We start from the raw sequence: 24,125 nt of genomic DNA, 5'->3' as shown, positions 1-24,125 counted from the left end.
GTTCTGGTGCTTTCCAACCTGTTCTAGAGCCACAGGCCCAGTGAGCATTTGCCCTGGCCTCATAGTTGCTAATTAGTTTGCCAGTGTATATTAAGAGTCTGCATCTGTTGGCTGGATGCGGTGGCTCATGCCTGTAATCCCAGCACTTTGGGAGGCCGAGGTGGGCGGATCACCTGAGGTCAGGAGTCTGTGACCAGCCTGGACAACATGGTGAGATCCCGTTTCTACTAAAAATACAAAAAAAAGTAGCTGGGCGTGGTGGCTCACACCTGTAGTCCCAGCTACTCAAGAGGCTGAGGCAGGAGAATCGCTTAAACATGGGAGATGGAGGTTGCGGTAAGCCGAGAGCATCGTGGCCACTGCACTCCAGCAACAGAGTGAGACTCCGTCTCAAAAAAAAAAAAAAAAAGGAGAGTCTGCATTTCTCCAGTCGTAAATATTCTTTTCTTTGAAGCTTGCCACCTGACTGTCAATCCAATGCCACCTGTGTATTTGAACTTTTTATTATGATATCTCCCACTTGAAGGTGCTGATTTCTGAATTAGTTTGGGTTGGCTTACTAATAACTGTTGTAACCAATAGACCCAAAATATATATGGCCTTAATACAATAGAAGTGTATTGTTTGCTGTCATAGCCATGTGAGTGGGTATATAGATTGATAGGATGGCCATTCAGGGACCTGAGCTACCTGAAGCTCTAGCCTCTTTACCATATGGCTTCCAAACTCACTCTGGGGCTCATGGCCCTACCAGCCAGTCAGAAGGGGAAAACAGCATGGAGGAACATACGTGAGTCAGGCCTGGAAAGGGCGCACATCACTCCTGCTTGCATTCCATTGGTTAGGATCTCATGGCCAGGTCTAACTACAGGAGGTTGGGAAATGTTTGTATACCTAGAAAGGAGAGGAGGAGGCATATTTTCATGGACAGTTAGCAGCTCGTAGCACTGTTCTCAAACATTTAGGTTATTTAGAACGATTTTGCTATTTTTCTATTGTAAGGTATAAATAGATGTGATTCTTTGTTTATAACTCTCCATATTTCTGATAGTTTTCTTTTTTTTTTTTTGAGACACAGTCTCGTTCTGTTGCCCAGGCTGGAGTGCAATGGCGTGATCTCGGCTCACTGCAAGCTTCGCCTCCCGGGTTCACGCCATTCTCCTGCTTCAGCCTCCCGAATAGCTGGGACTACAGGCGCCCACCACCATGCCTGGCTAATTTTTTTTGTATTTATAGTAGAGATGGGGTTTCACCATGTTAGCCAGGATGGTCTCGATCTCCTGACCTCGTGATCTGCCCACCTCGGCCTCCCAAAGTGCTGGGATTACAGGCGTGAGCCACTGCACCCAGCCGATAGTTTTCTTATAATTGAGTTCTGTATATAAAATTACTGTAAAACAAAACTATCAAATTATGTCAGAGGGGTATACACATTTTAAGATTTTAAGATTCTTTAATATACGAGTCAATAAAATCTTGTCTTTGACACTGTGAACATAGTTTAATCTATTTCCTCTCCATCCCATCAGTCTCCCCTAAGTATGCCTCATGTAACTTTTTCTTCAGAACCCCATGCAGGTGTTTCAGGGCTTTATGTCATTCAAGGATGTGGCTGTGAACTTCACTAGGAAGAATGGAGAGAACTGGACCTTGCTCAGAGAGTCTTGTACAGGGATGTAATGCTGGAGAACTATAGGAACCTGGTCTCCTTGGGTGAGCTTGGGTCCTTCCACCCCAGATTGACCTTTCAGGATACCTTTGCCTTCTAAAGATTCCCTTGCTTCTATTAGGGAATGGTAACAAATGAGGCTTTGGTTATTTTCCCCCACAGAATCCAGATCAGATCCTTAAACTGTTTCTCACCCTACTTGGGTAGAAATTATTTAATTGCTTTTGACAATTAGTTATTTCGTTTTCTCCTCTCTAAAATGCAACAGAGTGGGACTGAGAATAGAGTGGTCCTTTCTCTTTTGAACTTAAAATTACATTCTGTTTGTATCTCTTCAGTAGGATTTCCATTTTCCAAACCTGGTATCATCTCCTAGTTGGAAGAAGTGGTAAGCCCACGAACACAAATGCAGGAGGGAGAGGTGCCAAGAAGCAGCGGTACACGTAAGTGAGAACAAGGCAGATTGCATCTTTAGAAATAAGAGTTAGGGGTTCTTCCCAAATCCTCCGGGCCTGTAGAAAATGTTGAATCCCCCTGCAGTCTCATCTTCACTTGACCACATCAGAATCCTAATAGCTTACCTCTTTATTTCTTCCCAGACTCAAGGAAGAGATACTTCCTCCTTAAAGTTATAAGCCCAACACATGATCCAGAGATCAGCTTTGTGCCTCATCCTGAGGCATTTTATGAGGCTATTCCCATTTCCTCTTTAGTAGCTGGAATCACTTCTTCATTTACTCTGTCCTTATCCTACCTAGTTTTCTGCTATATAAGAAATATGAAGAGAAGGAAAGAATTTGAATAATTTTAAGGATATAAAATTGACATAATTTGTTGTGTAGATTTGAGAGGTGAGGGAGTAACAAAGAAAATTCTCAGGTTTCGGCCAGGCGCAGTGGCTCACGCCTATAATCCCAGCACTTTGGGAGGCCGAGGCGGGCGGATCACGAGGTCAGGAGATGGAGACCATCCTGGCTAACATGGTGAAACCCCATCTGTACTAAAAATACAAAAAATTAGCCGGGCGTGGTGGCGGGCACCTGTAGTCCCAGCTACTTGGGAGGTTGAGGCAGGAGAATGGCGTGAACCCCAGGAGGTGGGGCTTGCAGCGAGCCGAGATCATGCCATTGCACTCCAGCCTGGGTGACAGAGCGAGACTCCATCTCAAGAAAAAAAAAAAAAAAAAAGAAAAAATTCTCAGGTTTCTGGTCTGGATGTGTAGGTGAATGGAAGTTCTCTTCCCTGAGATGGAAAACACAGGAGAAGTAGCAAATTTAGGGAGTGGAAGATGAGTTCAGTTTCTCTTAAGTTGTTTGAAGTGTCTATAATAAGTCTAAACCAGTGGTTCTTAACCAGGGGCAAGTTTGCCCCCCGGGGGACATTTGGCAACGTCTGAAGTGTGCTATGGGCATCTCGTGAGTGGAGTCCAGGAATGCTGCTAAACATCCTACAATGCACAGGACGGGGCCCCACACAAAGACTTGTCTGTCTAAAACGGCAACAGTGCTGCAGTTGAGAAAACCTGCTCTAAGTGGTAATGTCTGGAGGCTAGATGAATATAAGGACGACATGCCAAATGTATCTTAGTAAAGGAAAGAGATCTTAACTGGGGGTACAGATTTGGGAGTTGCCTGAGAATGGATGAAATTGAAGCCATGGGAGTGGATAATATCACCCAAAGAGCACAAAAAGAGTTACAAGAGAGCCTAGAACTCTAACGAACACAAACATTCAAGTATCTGCAAAAAAAAGTATATATATATGTATAGTATATAATATATATATTTTTATATTATATATGCAAATATATATGTATATACACATGTATATATACGTATGTGTATATACACATACGTATGTATACATACACATACGTATGTGTATATACACAGGGCTTCTCTCCAGTGTGGATCCTCTGATGTTGGGTAACATGGGCGCTTCTACTGAAGGCTTTCCCACACTCCTGACAATCAAATGGTTTCTTTCCAGTATGAACCCTCTGATGCTGGGTAAGAGATGAACTCTGGCTGAAGGCTTTCCTACAGTCTTTACAGGTGTAGGGTTTCTCTCCAGTGTAGACCTTTATATGTTTTGTAAGAGTTGAGCTCTGACTGAAGGCTTCACCACATTCTTTACACTTGTAGGGTTTTTCTCCGGTATGAGTTCTGTCACATAAATGTGGCAGAGCTTTCGTGTAGTTCAGCCCTCATTAGACACCAGAGACTTCACAGTGGAGAATCTCCCTGAATGTCTGGACAAATCCACTCAGACTCTTCATTTGGTTAAATACCAAAGAATTATACTTTTATAGGTTGTTACAGTGGCGATGCTTTATTATATTTTAAGGGATGAAAATCCCTCCTCTCCTACCCTGGTTATTTTCTCTTGCAAAGCTATCAGAATATCACAAATCCAAGTGAAGAAACACTGAACTGAAATCTGGACTAGCCTAATAGACTCTAAAGCTCAATTTTTATATGTATATGTGTGTATTTTTGTCTGTACCTGAAATGACTGCTGTCACCATGCAGTGATTTTACCCCCCTTCCCTGGCCTCAGGAATAAGCCAAGAAATTCTAGTTGTGCAGAACTGAGCTTGTTGCCCCTTCTTGTACTGATGGAAATAGTGCCATGTCCAAACAAAATAAAGAAGCTCATAGCTAATTACATATCCTAATACCACCTTCCTATAAAACTTTGCCTTAATCTGTAGTCATTCCTGCCCCCAGCTCATACCCTCCTGTGGGCAGCTTTTGTTTGCTTTACCTCATCCCACTGTTTTGTGATCACCCCCCGGGAGATGAGGGACTCAGTTAATAGGCCAGATGTCAAGACTGATGACATTTCACACACTAAGAGAACTTGAAAGTTTACTATTCATACACAGGGTTTCTGGGGAGAGCAGGATAGATGAAAGCTGGTCCAAAATGGCAAGAACAGAGAGGAGGCTGGGCCTTTAAAGTAGCTAGGGAATGGGGCTGGAGAGCATTCGATCTGTGGGCTTGAGGGATTCAAGCTTCCTGCCAGTGCTGGGAGCTCAGGAGATGCCCATGGATTTCTTTATCTAAAGCACCAGGTGTGCGGTGGGGCAGTGTGGGGGAGGGGAGAATAGAAAATGGTGGAAACTTAAATGCTGTCAATGGCCAGACATCAAAAATGGGGCCAAACTCTGTTACATCTACCTTTTCAGAAATCTTTTTTCACTTATCTCAAAATAGCTCTTTAATGTTATTGTGTCTTTTTTTTTTTTGAGACGGAGTCTTGCTCTGTCACCAGGCTGGAGTGCAATGGCATGATCTCAGCTCACTGTGACCTCCGCCTCCCAGGTTCAAGTGATTCTCCTGCCTCAGCCTCCCAAGTAGCTGGGACTACAGGTGCCCGTCACCATGCCCGGCTAATTTTTGTATTTTTTGTAGAGACAGGGTTTCACCATGTTGGCCAGGATGGTCTCAATCTCTTGACCTCATGATCCGCCCGTCTCAGCCTCCCAAAGTGCTGGGATTACAGGCGTGAGCCACCGCGCCCGGCCTATTGTGTCTTCTGTTGATGAGGAATCTATTTTGCTTTTTCCATCTCCCCTTTCTTAGAATTTTCTTTTTTTTCCCCTTCCTTAAGGCTGAAATTATAACTATCAGTTCTCAGAAAGTAAGAACCGTTTACCTTGGAAACTGTCAGCCTTACATAGTAACTATTATGCAATCCCAACAGAAGAGTTAGGGAAGATTGAGTCAACACTTTTAGAAAACATTTTTAAAAAAATGGTCATATGAATTTGTATCAGACTATCACCAGATTAAGTTACTTGAGGCTGCCTGATGAAAATTTCTGTATATGGCTCTAAGAAATTTTATGTGTACCTAATAAAGCCAGGCATTATTTTTTGGTTATGCTGTGACTCAACACTTACATGCAAACTTTTTTTTTTCTTTCAAATCTTCCTAAGCTTAAATTGATGTTAGAGTAACTTTTTTGGTTTCCATGAATTATTTTCCCTGCCTTTTTTTTTTCTTCCTGTTTTAGATGCATTTCAGTTACCTGAGAGTAATCCAATTGTATAGGATTGGAGTCCCTTGACTTTCCCATATCATTCCCAGTGTACTAGCCAGAACCTGAGATTTCCCTGCTTTCTATTTTTCTCACTAAAAGGGCTATTCTGAACTCTCTCTCCTCACCTGCTTTCCTATCCTTCTCTTCTGTTTAAAGAAGTCGGTGTTAGTACAGCTTGAAATTTAACAGGGCTTGAATTACAGAAGGCACAACTGAAGTTAGAGAAGAAAGGATTTTTGTTCTGAAAATTAGCGGTGAGACAGACCACTCTGAATAAACGGTGATATCTGGAAATAATTTTTGAAATGCCCAAAATCCTTCGTAACTTTAAGAAATTGAAAAGGGGTGGGGAGGGTCGTCTATAAGAGTGTCTGTCATTAGAATAAGACTTCTTAAAGTAATGTTTGTTAACAATTGGTAACAAGGTCATTTCCAAACATAGTTCCTGGAGCCAGTTGGCTTTGGATTGGTAGAAACCATTGTTGTTCCTTCAGAGTCCTCATCTTTGGTAATTTATTTTAGAACTAAAGACTGAAGACAGATGTCCTTGAACAAAAGGTCTGTCCTAGAATGGGTGGATTGCATGAATTCGTGGATTGTACTATAGTGAATTGGTATAATTCTCTTGTAGCCTAAATATAATTTGGATCCAGAAATATTAAAATTTTGAGGACATTATAGTGATGAAATATTTGAAATCAGAACAGTTCTAGAAATATTATGACTCTGGGACTTACAGAGCCTTTTTTGTTTTGTTTCAGTTTACTCTGACTGTACTGTTAGTAGTATGGTCTATGCTTGTGCTCTCCTCTCAGATTAGTTTGTTTGTTTGTTTGTTTGAGACAGGGTTTTGCTCTATTGCCTGGGCTGGAGTGCAGTGACGCCATCACAGCTCACTGCAGCCTTGAACTCTCAGGATCCTTGATCCTCCCACCTCAGCCTCCCGAGTAGCTGGGACCACAGGCAAGCGTCACCACACCCGGCTAATTTGTTTGTATTTTTTGTAGATGGTGTTTTGCCATATAGCCCAGACTGGTCTTGAACTCTTGAGCTCAAGCAGTCTGCCCACCTTAGCTTCCTGAAGTGCTGGCATTACTGGCATGAGCCGCCACGCCCAGCATTTGGATATTTCTATAACAGGGTTCTCTTTCGTGGGCTGTAGTGTAGACCACACTTACCCTTCATGATGGAGAATATAATTCCTCTCCTTTTACAACCTAAGCTAAAGCTCAGTGTGTTTGTTTGGTTGTGGTAAAGTCTGGGGTGGGGGTTTGATTTGGGGCTTTAGATAGTAAATGTTCTGATATTTTGATCTCTTTTTGGTAGGTAATCTGGATTCTTTAGTTTTTAAATCATGAGTGTCTAATTTTCTAACTTATATGTTAAAATTGCCTGTATGCTTGGCTGATATGTGTCCAATGAAGGGAAAATTAATTTATATGTTAAATTAATTCCTCCAAGCAAATTATCCTGAATAATTTGCACTGTTGTGATAAACTAACTAGGGTGACCCCAGGCTTGATTTGAGGATTGCAGGAAGAGATATTTAGTGATTAAAGTAGGGCTTTCTGTCTTTTCGGAGGAGGCATTAATACTTTTTAGGTTTTCTTTAAGTTAAGAGGCAGTTGTCACGTTATCACTCTTTTCATTTTGCAAGTTAGTCTCCTTTAGGACCCAGCTTAAGGTATTACCTCCACCCTCACCTCTTGGCCACTGTAACTGAAAATAATCTCCTCCTCTGAATACCAGTGCTGCTTACTTACTATTTATATCACTCACATATGCCTATGAAACATGACAATTTTGGTTTGATACTAATATCCGGCCTTATTCTCAATCTTAACATCATCAGGGATCATGATTTTAACATCATTATCATCATGATGAGGGAAACCTATCTTTGTTTAGGGCTTTCGTTGCTGATTTTACACAAAATAATACTTGCATACGGTTAAAAAAATCACGTGAAATAGAGTTTTTCAATGAAAAGTCATTCTTCTAGGAACTTTGACCTGTTAGATATATATCGTATATTTGATGACTGCTGGGTATGTTTTGCCAAGAGTCATCTATGCAAAATACAGTGGCTTGAGATAAACATCTCAGGAAAAATCATCTCATACTTATATTTTACTTAACAAGAATTCACCCATATGCACCAAGATATCCCCCCAAACCAAAAGATAAATTAGTGTAATTAAGAATACTATAAAATTATGTTTTGCACACCTATATAAAATTCTATATTTATCTATTCATGAGTTATTATCAGAGCTATACACAAAACTAGGTGTATTTTATGGGCAAATTCAAGGATTTATAAAGACAATATTGGTATTGCCCTGTTTTCATCTTACATGCTGACTACAGAAGTAACCTTGTGTAAGAGCACGACTTCAGTGAATCTAGAGGCCCAGTCAGTTCATTCGTGTGCTAGTTTATTCCTCTTCCTGAGTGTTTTTCCTTGGTTTGCCAAAGTTGACTGTATCAGAAGATATGCCAATTTATCCTAGTAGGAAGATTGCTAGGATACAGCAACACGGTGAATAAAGAAGCACTTCAGATTAATCCAAGTCCAAAAAAACTCCACGTAACCTTAATCAGCTTCATATATTAGTCCTGGAATAAATGTGACTATAGTGAAAGTGGGAAGACATTAGACAATATTCATTTGTATATTATTGATATCAGATGATGCACACTGACAAAAACAAAACCCTAGAAATACAGTAACTGTATAGTGAAGTCATGGCTTAGGATTCTTTGCTTATTCAGTATCACGGTTTTTATAGGACCCCAACACTAGAAATTAAAAAGATTCCAGTAACACCAACCTAATTGTATGTAGAATAATCTTCAGTGGAGAAAATACTTACAATTGTATAGAAAGCCTACAGTGGATCATTTGTCATCATCCCTGTTCATAGATTTTAGAACCAAAGGGAACTTTGAATATATAATATGGGCCTTTTATTTTGCAAGTGAGGAGATGGAGATCTGGAAAGGTTAAATGATATGCCCGTGCTATTTGGGGTGAGGGCAGTGGATAGTGGAGCTGAGCTTCCACAGACCTCCCAACCCTGCATAAAAAAAAGACCTTTCTGTGACATGTAGACCATAGAGAGCATCTGGGAGAGCAATGGGCATAGGGACGCTTCGACGTGGGGGAAATTAGCGGCTGATTGAGGGACAGGAGGGAGCTGGTTTACATTTAGTGGTAGTTATTGACTGGAGCACTGTGATGAGGCCATGGTACAGAGTGCTTTGAAGTCCTGCCCTGGGCCTGGGAATAGAGTCTGGATACATGTGACAGGCTTTGCATCCTTGTTGCTTCTGCCCTGTGGCAATTGGGGATTTACTGGATGAAAATGGGTTTTCTTCTTACTGAATTTAAACTGCAGAATATCTTCAAGCTATGAAAATAATTCTGTGTGCATGCACCTGTGGGTTAGAACACTCATTCTAACTGACATGAGGGAATTATCTCATGAAGACTTTACCTGGTGTGATATTCTTATGAGTGAATGAGTGAACACCTTTTGTTTCTCTACTTTGCACTCACAAGACTCATTCTTTCACGTTAGTGGTTCTCAACCAGGGGAGATTTTCCCCCTCCAGGAGACAACTGCCAGTGTCTGGAGAGAGTTTTGGTTGTCACAATTGGGGGAGGGGGTGTTACTGGCACCTAGAGGATAGAGGCAAGGGATACTGCTAATCATCCTACAATGCACGGGACAGCCCCTACAAAAAAGGATTGTCCCACCCAAAACGGCAGTAGCACTGAGATTCAGGAATTTTTAGATAACCAATTTACTGTGGCAGTATATCCCCACGAGGTGGTGGTACAGCCTCCTGCTGCAATGTTAAACTACAGTAGTTCACCGTGAGCAGTTGATTGTAATAGCGAATCTATTCTCTTTTTCAAAAAGTACACTTAAACATTTTTTACATTACAAAAGTGAAATATTCTTTGTGACAGAATCAAATAGTATACTGTAGAAGTGTATAAGTAAAAGAAAGGGCTTCCTGAGTTCCCCCTTGAAATCCTACCCTTTAGAATTGATGTGTATCTTTTTAGATTCTTTGCTTGTGCGTGTATATGTATGCATGCATAACTAGTAGTGTACTGTTTGTTTTTCAACTCACTTATAACTTTCAACATTATACTTTAGACATCTTTAAAAATAATTTAGAGGTATCTCATTTTTTTAAATGGATGCATTGTGTTCTGACGTATGGATGTCCTATAATTTCTATATATTCTTATTAATGGGCATTTGGGTTCTTTCCAGTTTTTTTTACTGATAGAGGCAATTCAGTGGTCATGCTGCTATTTCTGTAGGATAGATTCCTGGAAATGTGAGAGCTGGGTCAGAGTACATTTAAAATATTGATGAATTGGCTGTACTAGTTTATACTCTAACAGTGTAGCAGAGTGCCTTTTTCTCTCCCAAACATTGGATACTATCAAGATTTTATTTTTAATATATATTTTATTATATTTCATTCTTAATAATGTTGAATGTCTTTTCCTATGTTTATTTTTCTATGTTTATCAGTTATTTGTAGTTCTTCCATGAATTGCCTTTTCATTTCCTTTTTCCACTTTTTATTGGGTTGCTTTCTTTTTATCAATTTGGAGTAGTTCCTTATACATTTTGCTTATTAATGCTTTGTCTGAAGTTTCTTTTTGAATATGGGATAAGTTAAGGATAACATAGCTAGCCAATTGAACTAATTGTCCTTATTGAATAATTCCTCCCTTTCTCACTGAGTTGAAATATATACGTATATGAATCTGTTTTTGGACTGTGTTCCATCTAATGCTGTGCTAGTTTCACAGTGTTTTATTTATTGTGGCTTGTAGCTGGTTGGTGAAGAAGGATGGGAAGAATGTTTGGTGGTGTGTTTTCATGTGCAAAAGTGTGTTTTCATGTGCAAAAGCCTAGAGACAGGAGAAAACGGCAAGGGACTGAAGGAAGGCCAGAGGCTAAGGAAGGAACGAGGGCCTGAGGAAGAGGGGGAATGACGCTGGAGCACAGGTTTGGCTCAGATCATACAAGACCCCACGGGCCATTTTCAAATTTGGATCTTTATTCTTAGAGCCATGGAAAGATTTTAACCAGAGAAGTGACATGATCAGACTTATATTTTTTGAAGCTTTCTTTGGATTTCTGCTTCTGGCTATGATGGAGTAACTGGTACTAGGCTAGCCCTCCCACCATAAACTGCTATACAACATGACAAAATAGATGAGACAACTATTTTCAGGCAGTGAACAATAGGTAGCACAGAACTACTGATCCCAGACAGAGGGAAACTCATGAGGTGAACCCCATGATCACCCAACTTTCTGTCTTAGAACTACTTCCAACCATGGCACAGATAGCTGGAGTCCATGTAGAGCACAGTGGTCCCACGGAGTGGAGGATGTGGAAATCAGGGTTCAGAGCAGCGGAAGCAGATAGATCGTGCGGGGTGAGATACAGAGAGGAGGGAGTTGTATAAGAGCGTACACGAGTACATGGATAGGTCCCTTGTAAGCCGAAGGTTGAGAGGCAAGCTGAACATGAGCTAGGTGAGATCACTCAAGGGTTATAAGATAGTGGCTACTGTGGGGTTGAGAGTGGAACAGTGTCCCGGCGGGATCCTGGGACATACAAAGGACACTAGAAAAAAAAAAAAGAAAATCTGAGTAAGTATGGACGTCAGTTAATAATGTATCAATATTAGTTCATTAATTGTGACAAACTATCATAGAGTAACGTAAGATGTTAACAGTAGAGGTGTTGTGTACCCCTGTGGTAGAAAGATTGAAGGGTCTTATGTACCCCTATTGGGTGTGGGGTATATAGGAACTCTTTAAAAAAGAGTTTGATCTACCATGGTAGAGAATTTATTCTTTCCATAGAAATGATGGAATTCTTAGATGAAGAAGCATTCGAAGAGAAGTCAACCAAAACATATAGGAAGAAGAAAGTATCATAGATGTGTATCAGGAAGTTAATTGATAAATATTCTCTCTGGGGGAAAAAAAAAGCTACTTCTGCTTGCATCTTACACAATTGCACGTGTACATTTTTGCTGGAAAACAATCAGAAGTCCTATTTTGTTACTTAGAATGTTATAAAGTCATGTACTCGAGAGTTGAGATATAATGAAATTAATAATTTTTACTGTTGTTATCAAGTACATTCTTAAATGAAACTGGCTTTTTTTAAAATTTATTTTCAATTTTTGAGTGTGTGGAAAAGTACAATGACTGCTAGCACAGTTTGGTGCCACTGCTTTGATATGTGCTGAGGCCTCAGCAATTTTACTCACTATTGCTCCTGCATCATTGCGCAAATGACAATATGGTGAAAATAGCAAAGAATACTCAAGTGTTATCATGAAAATAGTTTTGACCTCACACATCCCTGAAAGGGTCTCAGTGAAGCATCAAGGGTCCATAGATCTTGCTTTTAGAACCACTGGGTAACAGCAGGTATCTGGAGTTTATGTAAGATGAAGGAAGGCAAGACTCTACAAATACTTTATGCTTTTAGACTTATCCCATTCATAAGCCTATTAGTTCTGCTCCATCCACCGCCCCCCCAAGGCAGAGATTATTAGACTGAATAAAAAACAAGACTTTCTTACACGATGCCCGTAAGAGATGCATTTTAAATATCAAGAGCCAGGTAGGCTGGTAAAAGGATGGGGTAAAGATAATACCAAATAGCCCAAATGTAGAACAAACCCAAATGCTCATCAGCAGGGTAATGGATGAACACGCTTGGTTACAGACATAGCATGGAATGCTACTCAGCAGTGAAAACAACAGGCTACTGATACGCACCATGACATGGATGAATCTCATAGATGTTTTATTGAGTGAAATAAGCCAGACACAATAGTGCCTACTATATATTTCCATTTATATGAAGTTCCAGCACAAGCAAAACTAATTTATAATGATAAAACTCAGATTCTTCGTTGCCTGGAACCAGGCATGGTAGAAAGATTGAATAAAAGGGCATGAGGGAGCTTCCTGGGTGCTGCCAATATTCTCTATCTTGATTGGGTGGTGGTTACCAGAATGGAGTTATTTGTCAAAACTCATTCACCTGGATGCTTAAAATAGGTGAATTTTATTGCATGTAAAGTATACCTCAGTAAAGTTGATTTTTTTAAAAAGCTTTCTCTGAGGGTGGGTGCAGTGGCTCACGCTTATAATCCCAACACTTTGGGAGGCCAAGGCAAAAGGATCACTTGAGAGCAGGAGTTCGAGTCTAACTTGGGCAATACAGTGAGACCCTATCTCTAAAAAATAAAAATAAATAAATACATAAATGAAAAGCTTTCTCTGGATGCAGAATGGAGAATGGATTGGCAAAAGCAATGAGTAGATGTAGGAATTCTAGTGTGGAGCCTATTGCCATAATCCAGGCGAGAGACAATGATGGCTTGGACTCTAGTAATAGCAGTGGAAATATAAAGGGTAAAGGGTTTGGAGATGTGTGAGATGTAAAATGGTGATGGTATGGACATGGGTTGTGACGGAAAGAGAGGAGGTAGGGATGCTCCCTGGGTTTCTGATTTGTAATCTAGTTGGGTGCTGGTGGCAATCTCTGAGAAAAGAACATGAGGAGGGTTAAATTTGTTGTGTTGGGATCTAGGGAGGCCTTACATTTAATTTTGGATGCATTAGATTCAAGGTGCCTGTGAGAAAGTCAAGTCTTTATACTTAGAAAGTAGTTGGATATACAGGTCTGAAAGTTGAGCTGAGACATCAGTTTGTGAGCCATAAACAGGTGGTAACTGAAGGCGTAGGAATGGATGAGCTCATCTAGGAAGAGAGACTAAGTTGGGAAGAAGTGATCTTGAGTTGAGCTTCAAAGAGCCTCTCACCTTTTCAGGCAGAGGAAGAGGAATAAGAAAATTGGACTGAAAAGTAATGGCCACTGAGATGTGGGCAGCCAGGAGAATGTGTTATCACTTGAATGTTACCCATTCATTATCTGGTTTCCCGATACATTATGTTGTTTTCTTTCTTTATTTTTTTTATTCTTTTTATTTTTTAGATAGAGTCTTGCACTCTCGCCTAGGCTGGAGTGCAGTGGCACCATTTCGGCTCATGGCAAGCTCTGCCTTCCGGGTTCACGCCATTCTCCTGCCTCAGCCTCCTGAGTAGCTGGGACTACAGGCACCCACCACCATGCCCGGCTAATTTTTTGTGTTTTTAGTAGAGATGGGGTTTCACTGGGTTAGCCAGGATGGTCTCGATCTGACCTCGTGATCTGCCCGCCGCAGCCTCCCAAAGTGCTGGGATTACAGGCATGAGCCACTGCGCCCGGCCTCTACAGCCTCTTTAAAACTACTTAATGTGATCCTTTTCTCATGCCATTAAATAATGAAAAGTTGGTTTTCAGTGAGTTGTATAGCAGCAGCTTAAAAAAGCAAATAATAAAACTTTCCAGAAGCAAACACACCCTGTTGAGCAGGTGGTTTACAGTACCACCCAACTGCCTATGCCTTTTTTTTTTTTTTTTTTTTTTGAGACGGAGTCTCACTCTGTTGCCCAGGCTGGAGTGCAATGGTGCCATCTCTGCTCACTGCAACCTCCACCTCCCGGGTTCAAGCAATCCTCCCACCTCACCCTCCCAAGTAGCTGGGATTATAGGCACATGCCACCACACCTGGCTAATTTTTGTATTTTTAGTAGAGTCGGGGTTTCACCATGTTGGCCAGGCTGATCTCGAACTGATCTCAAGTGATCCACCCACCTTGGCCTTCCAGAGCGCTGGGATGACAGGAGTGAGCCACCGCGCCCGGCCTGTTTCCTGGTTCTTGGTCGGGGCAGCAGATATAAGACACATCATGACGTTGATACTGTGACAGGAGCCACTTCACTCAGGAAGCCTCCCCGAGGCGCATTTTCCTAGGACGTAGTCTGTCTAGCTCTGAGACGCTAGAGTTGATGGATCCTGCTGGGAAGAGAGCGCAGATCTAAACAGAACAGGGCGCTTGTGGCCACAGGTCGTCTCTGTCTGGATCACATCAGTGTTTTGCCCACCTTTGTTGTCACTCAAACTCCTGACCTCAAGTGATCCGCCCACCTCGGCCTCCTAGAATGCTGGGATTACAGGTGTGAGCCACCATGCCCACTGGCTTTCATTACTTTCACTCTCCTCCAGCTCTCATATTTACTGTCCCCGTCTTCTGTGCTTTACAAATTCTCTAACCAGTTGTGGCCAAACCTGGTGCTGAATAGATTCATACTTTTTCAGCTTAACCCAAGCCTAGGTTCCCTAAGGCTACGTCCAGTCCTGCTACGTGCTCTGTTTTGAGTTTCACCTGTGCCTGCTTCTCTGCCCTAGAAGAGAAGATGGGATCATCTGTGCTGCTTCTTCAACCTTAAAATGGATTTCTTGCCCTTTTCTCCCTTTTTAAGTATCAATGTATGAAATCCACCTGTACCACCCTTTCTGCCATACAACCGCTGCCACATCTGGCTCCTAGAACCTGTTTTGCTTTCATAGATGGATCTCGGAACCAAGTGTTAACTTCATTTTTAAACCCCATTTTAGCAGATGGTTTGCTGTGGTCTGTCTGTATTCACCATGGGGCCTGTACACACCACGTGTGGTTTTAGTCAAACACAGTGCCCTCCATTGTGGCCACATGGGAGACCCATAACCCAATACTGCATCCTGGGCTGATGACAGCACTGCATCTGACCAGACATGGGATTGACCCGGGGTGGGCAAGCGGAGTGAACAGGATCAGCCAGAGTTCTCTCATGGCATTCATTGTATGGAGACTGGTAGGGACAAGGTCCTTTCCAGTTTTGGACCCCAAGCTGTAAGGAGACAGTTTGGGCCTGCTATTTGGCATCTTTCCTGGCACCTGGAGAGAGTGTACCATTTAGGATGCTTCCGGCTGCAGCAATAAGGACACGTTATCTTACATGATTTAAAGCCTGAAAACAAGCAGTTTAGATAGTTTAACAGCTCAACAGTGTCACTGGGGCTCTTTCCATTTTTCTGTTTCTTTATCCTCGGCTTACTGACCTAGTCCTCACGTTGGTTCTCATGGTTGCCAGAAGGCTGCTGCTGCCTGAGAAGCAGAAATATCAGTCAAATTAGAAGGGAAGGTGGAATTCCAGAGATATTGTAAATATAGAACTGGCAGCTGTGCTCTTCATGGGCAGGGCGTGTGTCATATTCTGTACTTATTTTGTGACCTCCACAAATAAGTATCTAGTGTTCAGCATCTAATGGCTGCAGAATAAATAATGAATGAATGAAGCGATCCTGAGTGGAGAGGAGAGTGGCACGTGCAAATATTTTCCAAGTTACCTGCCAGGCCAGGCCAGACTGGGACAAATGGACGTATCCAGAGGGCACTTGGGTGGTTGGGAAAGAGTTAAAATGAGGAAAGATGTTTCAGGAGAAAGAAGAAATGCCAGTTCCTGAGGGGGTATTGTGCCCTTGTCCTCCTCTCTTGGGGAGGAGAAGGCTCCCGAGAAGACAGAGCTGACAGTCAATTAGGAACTGAGGGTTCACAGCCCAGCTTCTTCACCACCAGCCCAAGTCTAAAGAAACTCACAAATCTGCTAGTGAGTCACCACCTCCCTCTCCTCTGAGCAACTGTAAGATACCTAGTAGTAGCCCTGCCCTATCCTGGAATTAGCCAGAACGTCCTCATGTAGCCTACCAAGACCGCTTCTGGCCCTGTAATCACCAGTGTGCATTTGAATTCTGACTCCACTATATATCAGATGTATGGGTTTGGGTCAGTTACCCAATCTCATTAAGTTACTGTTTTCTTATCTGTAAAACCCTGTATCTCATGTAGATAATGTATTCCCTGCTTAGCACAGTCCCTGCACAGAATGTGTAGTCAGCTATGATGGTGCTGGTGGTGGCAGCAGCAGTGGCAGCTTTCAAAGGCTGATCTGCTCTCAAGCTCGAGACAACACATGAATGAAAATAATAGCTTTGTGCTAGAAATGCTCTTTGGGAGTTGAGGCTGGCATGTTCTGCGGGTCCAACTACAGGAAAGATGAAATTTAAGAATGGAAAACCAGGAGATTCAAAATAGAATGTGTGCATTGTGTGTAAATAGTAGAAGAAATGGGTGAGTATCAACTAAGAAGTTTAAAGAAAGCCCAGTGAAGTTGTGTTAAGGAATCTGGGACTCAAGAAAACTGGAGGGACTCAGGAGCAGCCACTTCCTATCCCAGGATCCACAAGAAGGTCCCCCACAGTAGCTTTTTAAGCTTTGGAGTCACAAGTGTGCATTTAAATTCTGACTCCATCATTGGGAGTCCCCATTTCTGACTCCTCATGGGGAAAGAGGCCGGTTTTACAAATATCTCTTTTAAGAGCCAAGGAAACGCCATCAGTGTTCTTTCCATATATCATCAACTTAAATTTGCAAAGACTTCTTTATCCCTGAAGCAGTCACCACTGGCCGACAGGCTGCAGTAACCAAGTCTGGTGCAGATAAACAGAGCCCATCCTGGGAGCTGGAGTGCATGGATGTCGGAGGGTCATGTTTTCCAAACTGTGGAAGAAAAAACAAAAAGCTATGTTCTTCCAGGAGGTATTTAGAACGGAGCTTGAGTTTGGGATTCAGATGCCTGGGCCTGTGTAGTTCACTTGTGGGGCACCCCAGCAGGGGCCTCCTAATGGAAAATGCATCCTGAGAGAAGGAGTTAATTATAAGCTTAGCTACACCTCAGAATTTCAGGGTCAGAGTGGGAAAGTGGGTCTAAATAGGCCAGAATCTGTCACTAGGAGCTGCTCTCAAGCCAGCTTCCATGGCGTCATGGAGCTTAAGGGAGAAAAGGCGCTCTGAGTAAAGAGAATGAGCAGTTTCAGTAACATTAGAGGGACACATTGTACTAAGCATCCTTGCTCTGGGCTTCATCTAACAAACAATATATTATACTTCATTACCAGGCAACCTGGGCACCATTTGGACTGCAGGGCATCAGAGGCAGCAATGATAGGAAAAGAAGGTGCCCAGTGGAAGACAGTGCCCCAGGGACTCCAAGAAACACTGAGAGGAGGGGTTGGGCAGATCCGAGACCCTTGCTTAGTACACAGGGAAAGGAGCTGCGAAATATGAATGTTGCCTATAAATGTGACAGGCTTCTGGGGAAGTTGGGGTTTCTTACATTTTAGAGAGAGGAGGGTGATCCTTGGCCAGCTCCTTGTCTCACAGCTTAAGAGAACTCGCTGGAAGGAGCCTTCACCTCCTCAAATCCTGCTGTGTTTGTACCCATAAGATTAGCATACAAGTTCCTTTGCATTTGCATGATGTGTTCACTTTCATTTTCTCACAAACTGTAAGGTTTTTGTAAGGTTGTTGTAAGTTTATTGGAGCAGATACTACATCCCCATTTTAGAGGAGGAAACAGATTCAGAGAGGTAAGCTACTTACAAAGGTCACACAGCTAAAAGGTGCTGGGATCAGGACTCTGACCACTTGACACTTCTAACTCCAGATTTTCTTTCTGACCATATTGGGAGCCCTCCATAACATCTACCATTTACCAGGTCTTCTGATTAATATGCCTGTTTCCTTCCTACTAAAATACTCTTGACAAGGCAGTGGTTATTTTGCTCTCACGGAGGCAATAGCCCCCTCTGTGTTCTTTTTTTTTTTTTTTTTTTTTTTTTGAGATGGAGTCTCGCTCTGTCGCCCAGGCTGGAGTGCAGTGGCACGATCTTGGCTCACTGCAAGCTCTGCCTCCCAGGTTCACACCATTCTCCTGCCTCAGCCTCCCAAGTAGCTGGGACTACAGGCGCCTGCCACCACGCCCGGCTAATTTTTTGTATTTTTAGTAGAGATGGGGTTTCACCGTGTTAGCCAGGTTGTTCTCAATCTCCTGACCTCGTGATCCACCCACCTCGGCCTCCCAAAGTGCTGGGATTACAGGTGTGAGCCACCGCGCCCGGCCCCTCTGTATTCTTTCGAGCATTCTTGTTGCTTTGTTTGCTTCCTGAGTCTATGCACCATGATTGGAGGAGGGCTGCCTCTCATCCCAGGAAACCCACGTACAGATGTTAGGCTTCCTCCATGCAGACAATCAGGGGTATAGAAATATGGAGTGTTTAACCATCTGGTTTTCAGCAGTGAGGTGGAAATCAAAACCATTTGAGCAAATGAGTGTCCTAGGGGAAGTGGAATGAAGAATTGAGCTTCAGTGGCTGCTGAGACATAAGCCATCCCTAGCGGACTTGGCTGAGGCAGACTATGTTGTTTATAGAGGAACCGGCTCATTGTCCTCTGGCCCTGGCCACAGCAATCGAGGGAGGGGCACATTTTTTGGCCCTTGAATGAACAATGCTTTTTCCTTCCTTTGTTGAGGGGTCTAGGTCTGTGGTCCTTACTTATTGTTTAAAAAAAGAAAAAACAAACCTCTGAGTAAATATTGGGAAGGTGAAGGGTGGAGGGGATGGTTTTCTGAGATTCTTTCCAACACTGAAGGGCTATATCTCACTAGTAAAAACAAGAGGACCCTCACCCTCACCCTGTAACTTGTTGCTACCTGAAGGTGTCTGTTCGCTTACCTACCTGTGTGCTCCTGCCCAGCAAGCCCGGCCTGCCCTGCCCTGGCCATTGGCCTTGCTGAGCTGCTTCTCAGTGCCCTGGAGGCATTCACACCTGGCCTGAGATAAGTCTGCCCTTTTTGAAGGTGAGTGCGGCTCCCTGGAATGTGTGGTATCCCAGCAAATAGCAAGATTAGAGGTGCCCATTTTGACTGGGAGCTGGACAGCTGCCCAAGTTCTAGAAAACCAGCAGTGCTGAAACAACAATTGGCTCAGGGCCTCAGGGGAGCCGGCCTGGGAAACCATCTCCTGTCCCAGGGCAAGAGAACATTTGTTACAGATTTTTTAAAGATTTACTTCATTTATTATGTGTAGGTTGTTTTGACATTTTTAGGCATAAGCCATAAAGGTAACTAGAGTTAGATTTGTGTGATTATTTGGGTTTCATACCAATGTTAGAGTTATTACAGAGGTTGATATGGAGATTCAACAAAGCATAGTTCAAATGTGCTATGTGCCGCATAAAATGTCACGCCCTTGTGTCTGGAATTTACTGAGAGTCATTTGAGATGTGGTCAAATTCTTGAGCTCTCCATTTCCAGGGCATTGCAGACTCCCCCAAGTAGGTTTCTAGGTGGTCTAGCTGCTAATTCTGGCCCCGTAAGCTTGGGTGGTCTGAGAAGTGATCAAAGCGGTGCCCGTGCACCACAGCCACACCTCACTGGAAGACAAAAGAGAACCCTAGAACAGCCCAGGACTAGACCTTCGGAGACTTAGGGAAGAAATGACCGTGGTGCACCTCCTTAGCTGGCAGATGTCCGTCGCTAAGGGCATAGTTGAAGCTGACTTCGGTGTTTTCTTCATCCAGTAGTGGGGTCCTTCAGGCTGTGTGCCAGGTACTGAGCTGGCAATCTCGTCTCTGTACCAACTGGTGTGTCCTCCTGTCTTTGTGAAGGGAAGGTACACGCAGTGCCCTGGGACAGCCCCTCCTTCTTGCGGAGGAGCCGTCATTACAACAATCGTGTTCTGAGACTAGGAGCAACGGCCCTTAGTGTCTGTAATCTGCTGTTTGTCTCACCTTTATTTCGTTCCTTTGTTAGTGGTAATTAATTACCAAAGTGATCCAAGAGGCCATCTTCTTCTTTTAGGAGAAAGACAGGGCTGGAGACCAGTTTGCTGATAGTGACCCCAAACCAGAAAGTTCATTGGGCCTGCACCTCCAGGTAAGCCAGTAAAATTCTGGGCTGGTTTCTAGAGGAGTGATGCGACTTCCAGCTCAGTGGTTCTCAGACTTTGAGATTTTACGAGAAAAATTGCAAAGTGAATTTGGAGGACTGACTTAGATGTCACTCTTCCGGACATTCCCAATCCTACACTCATTACTATTATTTCAGAAAAGATAAGACCTTTAATTCCAGAAAAGGAGGAAGGACACAATCTCAATAAAGTACAGTCCCATAAATCAATCAAATTCAGGGTTACGATCAGTTTATGATATTATTTTTATTTTTCTCAGTCTGATGGGCTGATTTGTCTTGAAGTCTGGTGGACAAATATTACCTGTGTTTGTGAATCATAGCTCTGTGTGACTCAGCAGAGACACAAATGAGGAAAAAAATCCAGTGAGATTTTTGAAGAGACAAATGAAAGGCTGTTTTGGCTTAGCAAAAACGCTTGGATAGCTTCTTTAGCCAGAAACTGCTAGAGAGAGTCTTTGGGTTAAGAAAGCTCTTCTTACTTGAGTTAACCTAGAGTCCTGAGAATGATGGCCTTAAACCCCTAAACCAGGAGGGAACCTGTTGGCAGGCATTGCTTATATCCTTTCAGAGGACATAACTTTCAGAGTTTGTCCATTGGTGGGATTATTTGTCAAGACTCAACAGGATGAAAGATGAATACTTACCTACCTACTGCCAATTGCCTACCACATATCTTGGTAGCATTTGAGTCATCAGAATTCTGGGTGGGGATTCCTCCCTCAATTCTGGAAAGGAATCCTGAACCACACCTTGACCTCACATTCCTGGTGGTAGGTTTGGTTTAGGAAAAAAGAATATCTAGGTGAAGTTACATTTGTTTTGTGAAGGCAAGAGAGACACTTCATTTTATGCAAGAGATACTTCATTTTAGCCCCTGAATGCTTGGGGTTAAGAGGAAGCCAATGATGTCCAATCAACACCTGATGAACCTGAGGCATTTTTTCCACGGGGCATTTAAGCAAGCTGTAGGCATAGTCAGTAGGATTCTCAATTCTTAAGTTTGGAGGTTGGGATTTCTGTTGAATGCAGACTCCAGGTGTGAGGAAGGAAATTCAGATGCATGCTACGATATGAATGAACCTTGAAGACATTATGCCAAGTGAAATAAGCCAGTCACAAAAAGACAAACACTGTATGATTTCACTCCTATGAAGTGCCTAGAGTAGTCACAATTATAGACAGAAAGTAGAACGGTAGCTTCCAAAGGCTGGAGGGGGAGAGGGAATGAGGAGTTATTGGTTAATGGCTACAGTTTCAGTTTTGCAAGATGAAAAGAGTTGTGGAGATAGATGGTGGTGACAACTGCACAACAGTGTGAATGTACTTAAAGCCACTGAACTGTACACTTACCAATGGTTATAATGAGCCAGGCACAGTAGTGTGCACCTGTAATCCCAGCTACTTGGGAGGTGGAGATGGGAGGATCACTTGAGCCCAGGAGTTCAAGGCTGCCGTGAGCTGTGATCACACCACTACAATCTAGCCTGGGCAACAGAGGGAGACCCTGTCTCAAAGACAAACAAACAAACAACCCAGCCTGGGCAACATAACAAGATCCTGTCTTTTAATAAAAGCAGTTAAGATGGTAAATTTTATGTTATTTGTATTTTATGTGTATTTATCTGTATTTTATCACAATTAAAAATAAAAATAAATCCAGATGTGGGTGGTGACCATAGGGTAGGTGGCAAGCATTCAGAGGCTGGATGCAGTGGCTCACACTTGTAATCCCAGCAGTTTGGGAGGTTGTGAAGGGAGGATTGCATGAGCCCAGGAGTTTGAAACTCACCTGGGCAACATAGTGAGACCCCATCTCTACAAAAAATTTAAAAACTTACAAATTAGCCAAGTGTGGTGGAGCACTTGTAGTCCCAGCTACTTGGGAGGCTGAGGGCTGAGGTGGGAGGATCACTTGAGCCTGGGAGGTTGAGGCTGCAGTGAGCTGTGATTGCACCACTACGTTACAGCCTGGGCGACAAAGTTTTGAGACCCTGTTTCAAAAAACAAAAACCAAACCAACCAAATAAAAAACAAAGAAGGCATTCAGAGGTAGAACGTTCTGAGAATAACAGAGCTGGGGTAGAGGGGGAGGCTGGGAGCCAGAAGCGTTAAATCTTCTGTCACTAAGGGGAATGACTGGGAGGCTGTAGAAGACAGCCAGGAGGAGAGGAGGCGTGGTATTTTGGGGCACATAAGGGGAGCAGGGTTTGCAAAGGGGCTGGGGAGGGGCGATGGTCTAGATGTTGTGATGGGGGCTGAGGAGGACTCCCATCCACCTAGGCATAGGAAATGAGAGAAGGAGCTACACGGGTTGAGAGGTGGCAGGAGAAATTGTCTTTGGGGGACATTCAAGTTTTGGTTAAGACAAGGAGCAAAGCAGAATCCGAGGAGAGACAGAGTATCAAGATGCCCCAGGGCTCAGTGGGAGCAAAGTGGGGTGGTGACTGTAGAGCCTTTGAAGCAATAGGGAATTTGAGTTCAAAAGAATCATGTGACTTTCTAGCCTCAATATTTGGGTGCTGGGGGTTTGAGCATGGGCATTTGAGACTTGATGGGATGTGTCACTGTCCCTGGAAGCAGGATCAGAGCTTGGGCCTAGTGGTGTTCTGCTTTGAGGGTTGGCATTAGAGGGGACTTAGAAGTTGTGGTGAATTTTGTGGTCCCAGAGGGCTGAAGATGAGCCTCCAGAGGGGCCACCACTCCTAATCCCATGCCCCTGCCAAATATCCCAACCTGAGCATGATGCCGTCTCCCATTGAGCTCGGACATGCACTTAGACCCCACCGCAACATAATTCCTCAGAGGGCCAAACTAGAAATTGATTTACCGGCCCTGACTTAGGACAACATACTCATTTCATGGACAAGGAAACTAAGGTTAAGTGGGGACACGCGTTGGGCGCGGTGGCTCACACCTGTACTCCCAGCACTTTGGGAGGCCGAGGCGGGCAGATCACGAGGTCAGGAGATTGAGACCATCCTGGCTAACACGGTGAAACCCCGTCTCTACTAAAAATACAAAAAATTAACCAGGCATGGTGGTGGGTGCGTGTAGTCCCAGCTACTCGGGAGGCTGAGGCAGGAGAATGGCATGAACCCGGGAGGCAGAGCTTGCAGTGAGCCGAGATCATGCCACTGAACTCCAGCCTGGGCGACAGAGCGATACTCCGTCTCAAAAAAAAAAAAAGAGAGAGATCAAATGATTGGCACAGGCCAGGCTAGGGCCCACATTCCCATTTCCTGTTTTCCACACCACTGTGGAATGTCTGCTAGCTCAGGACTTCAGTGGGGCATTGATGAAGGGCTGAGCACTCCCATGAACTGCTCTAAAAGGGTTAGCCATAGAGAAGCAGGTATGAAACAATTCATGAGAGAAGAAAGGGTGGGAATGAGATAGGGAGGGAAGGAATGAGGAAGAAGTGAGCCACGTGGAAACCCAAGCAGGATGTATGCCTTCTGATTTCTACTGAAGCTGTAGAAAGGGCCAGGCAGGGCAACTACCTTTTCTTCCCCATTCTCAGAGAGATCAGAGGCCCTATGGTATGCGGGTGGACCAGTTCAGCCTCCAGTACCAGGTCACTCTGAAAAAGGGATTAAAAGGAAA

At 43.3% G+C, this 24,125-nt stretch overlaps 1 protein-coding gene and 1 pseudogene across 8 annotated transcripts in view, besides 1 other annotated feature; one reads left to right on the top strand and one right to left on the bottom strand.

Annotated features, from left to right (window-relative positions):
• Positions 1 to 24,125, top strand: part of TRIM16 (tripartite motif containing 16) — a 56,346-nt gene that overhangs the window by 5,024 nt on the left and 27,197 nt on the right. For 2 of the 8 annotated variants that reach the window (NM_001348119.1, NM_001348125.1), the window contains exons 5-6: positions 1,567 to 1,713; positions 2,008 to 2,112. The exons of 3 other annotated variants lie outside the window; for them this stretch is intronic. The gene's annotated coding sequence lies outside the window, so the exon portion shown is untranslated. The remainder of the gene's footprint in view (positions 1 to 1,566; positions 1,714 to 2,007; positions 2,113 to 24,125) is intronic. 3 more of the 8 variants (NM_001348124.1, NM_001348120.1, NM_006470.4) reach the window with 3 other exon arrangements.
• On the bottom strand, positions 3,645 to 3,812 carry ZNF29P (zinc finger protein 29, pseudogene; annotated as a pseudogene).
• Positions 19,325 to 19,827: an enhancer, noted in NCBI's record as "H3K4me1 hESC enhancer chr17:15562775-15563277 (GRCh37/hg19 assembly coordinates)". NCBI's record gives its function as "activates a minimal SCP1, AML or CMV promoter by ChIP-STARR-seq in naive H9 embryonic stem cells {active_cell/tissue: H9 hESC(naive)}" and the evidence as "EXISTENCE:reporter gene assay evidence [ECO:0000049][PMID:30033119]".

The sequence above is a fragment of the Homo sapiens genome, chromosome 17 (genome assembly GCF_000001405.40).
Source record: "Homo sapiens chromosome 17, GRCh38.p14 Primary Assembly".
Taxonomy (NCBI): Eukaryota; Metazoa; Chordata; class Mammalia; order Primates; family Hominidae; genus Homo; species Homo sapiens.
This window is presented reverse-complemented; position numbering and strand designations above follow the sequence as displayed.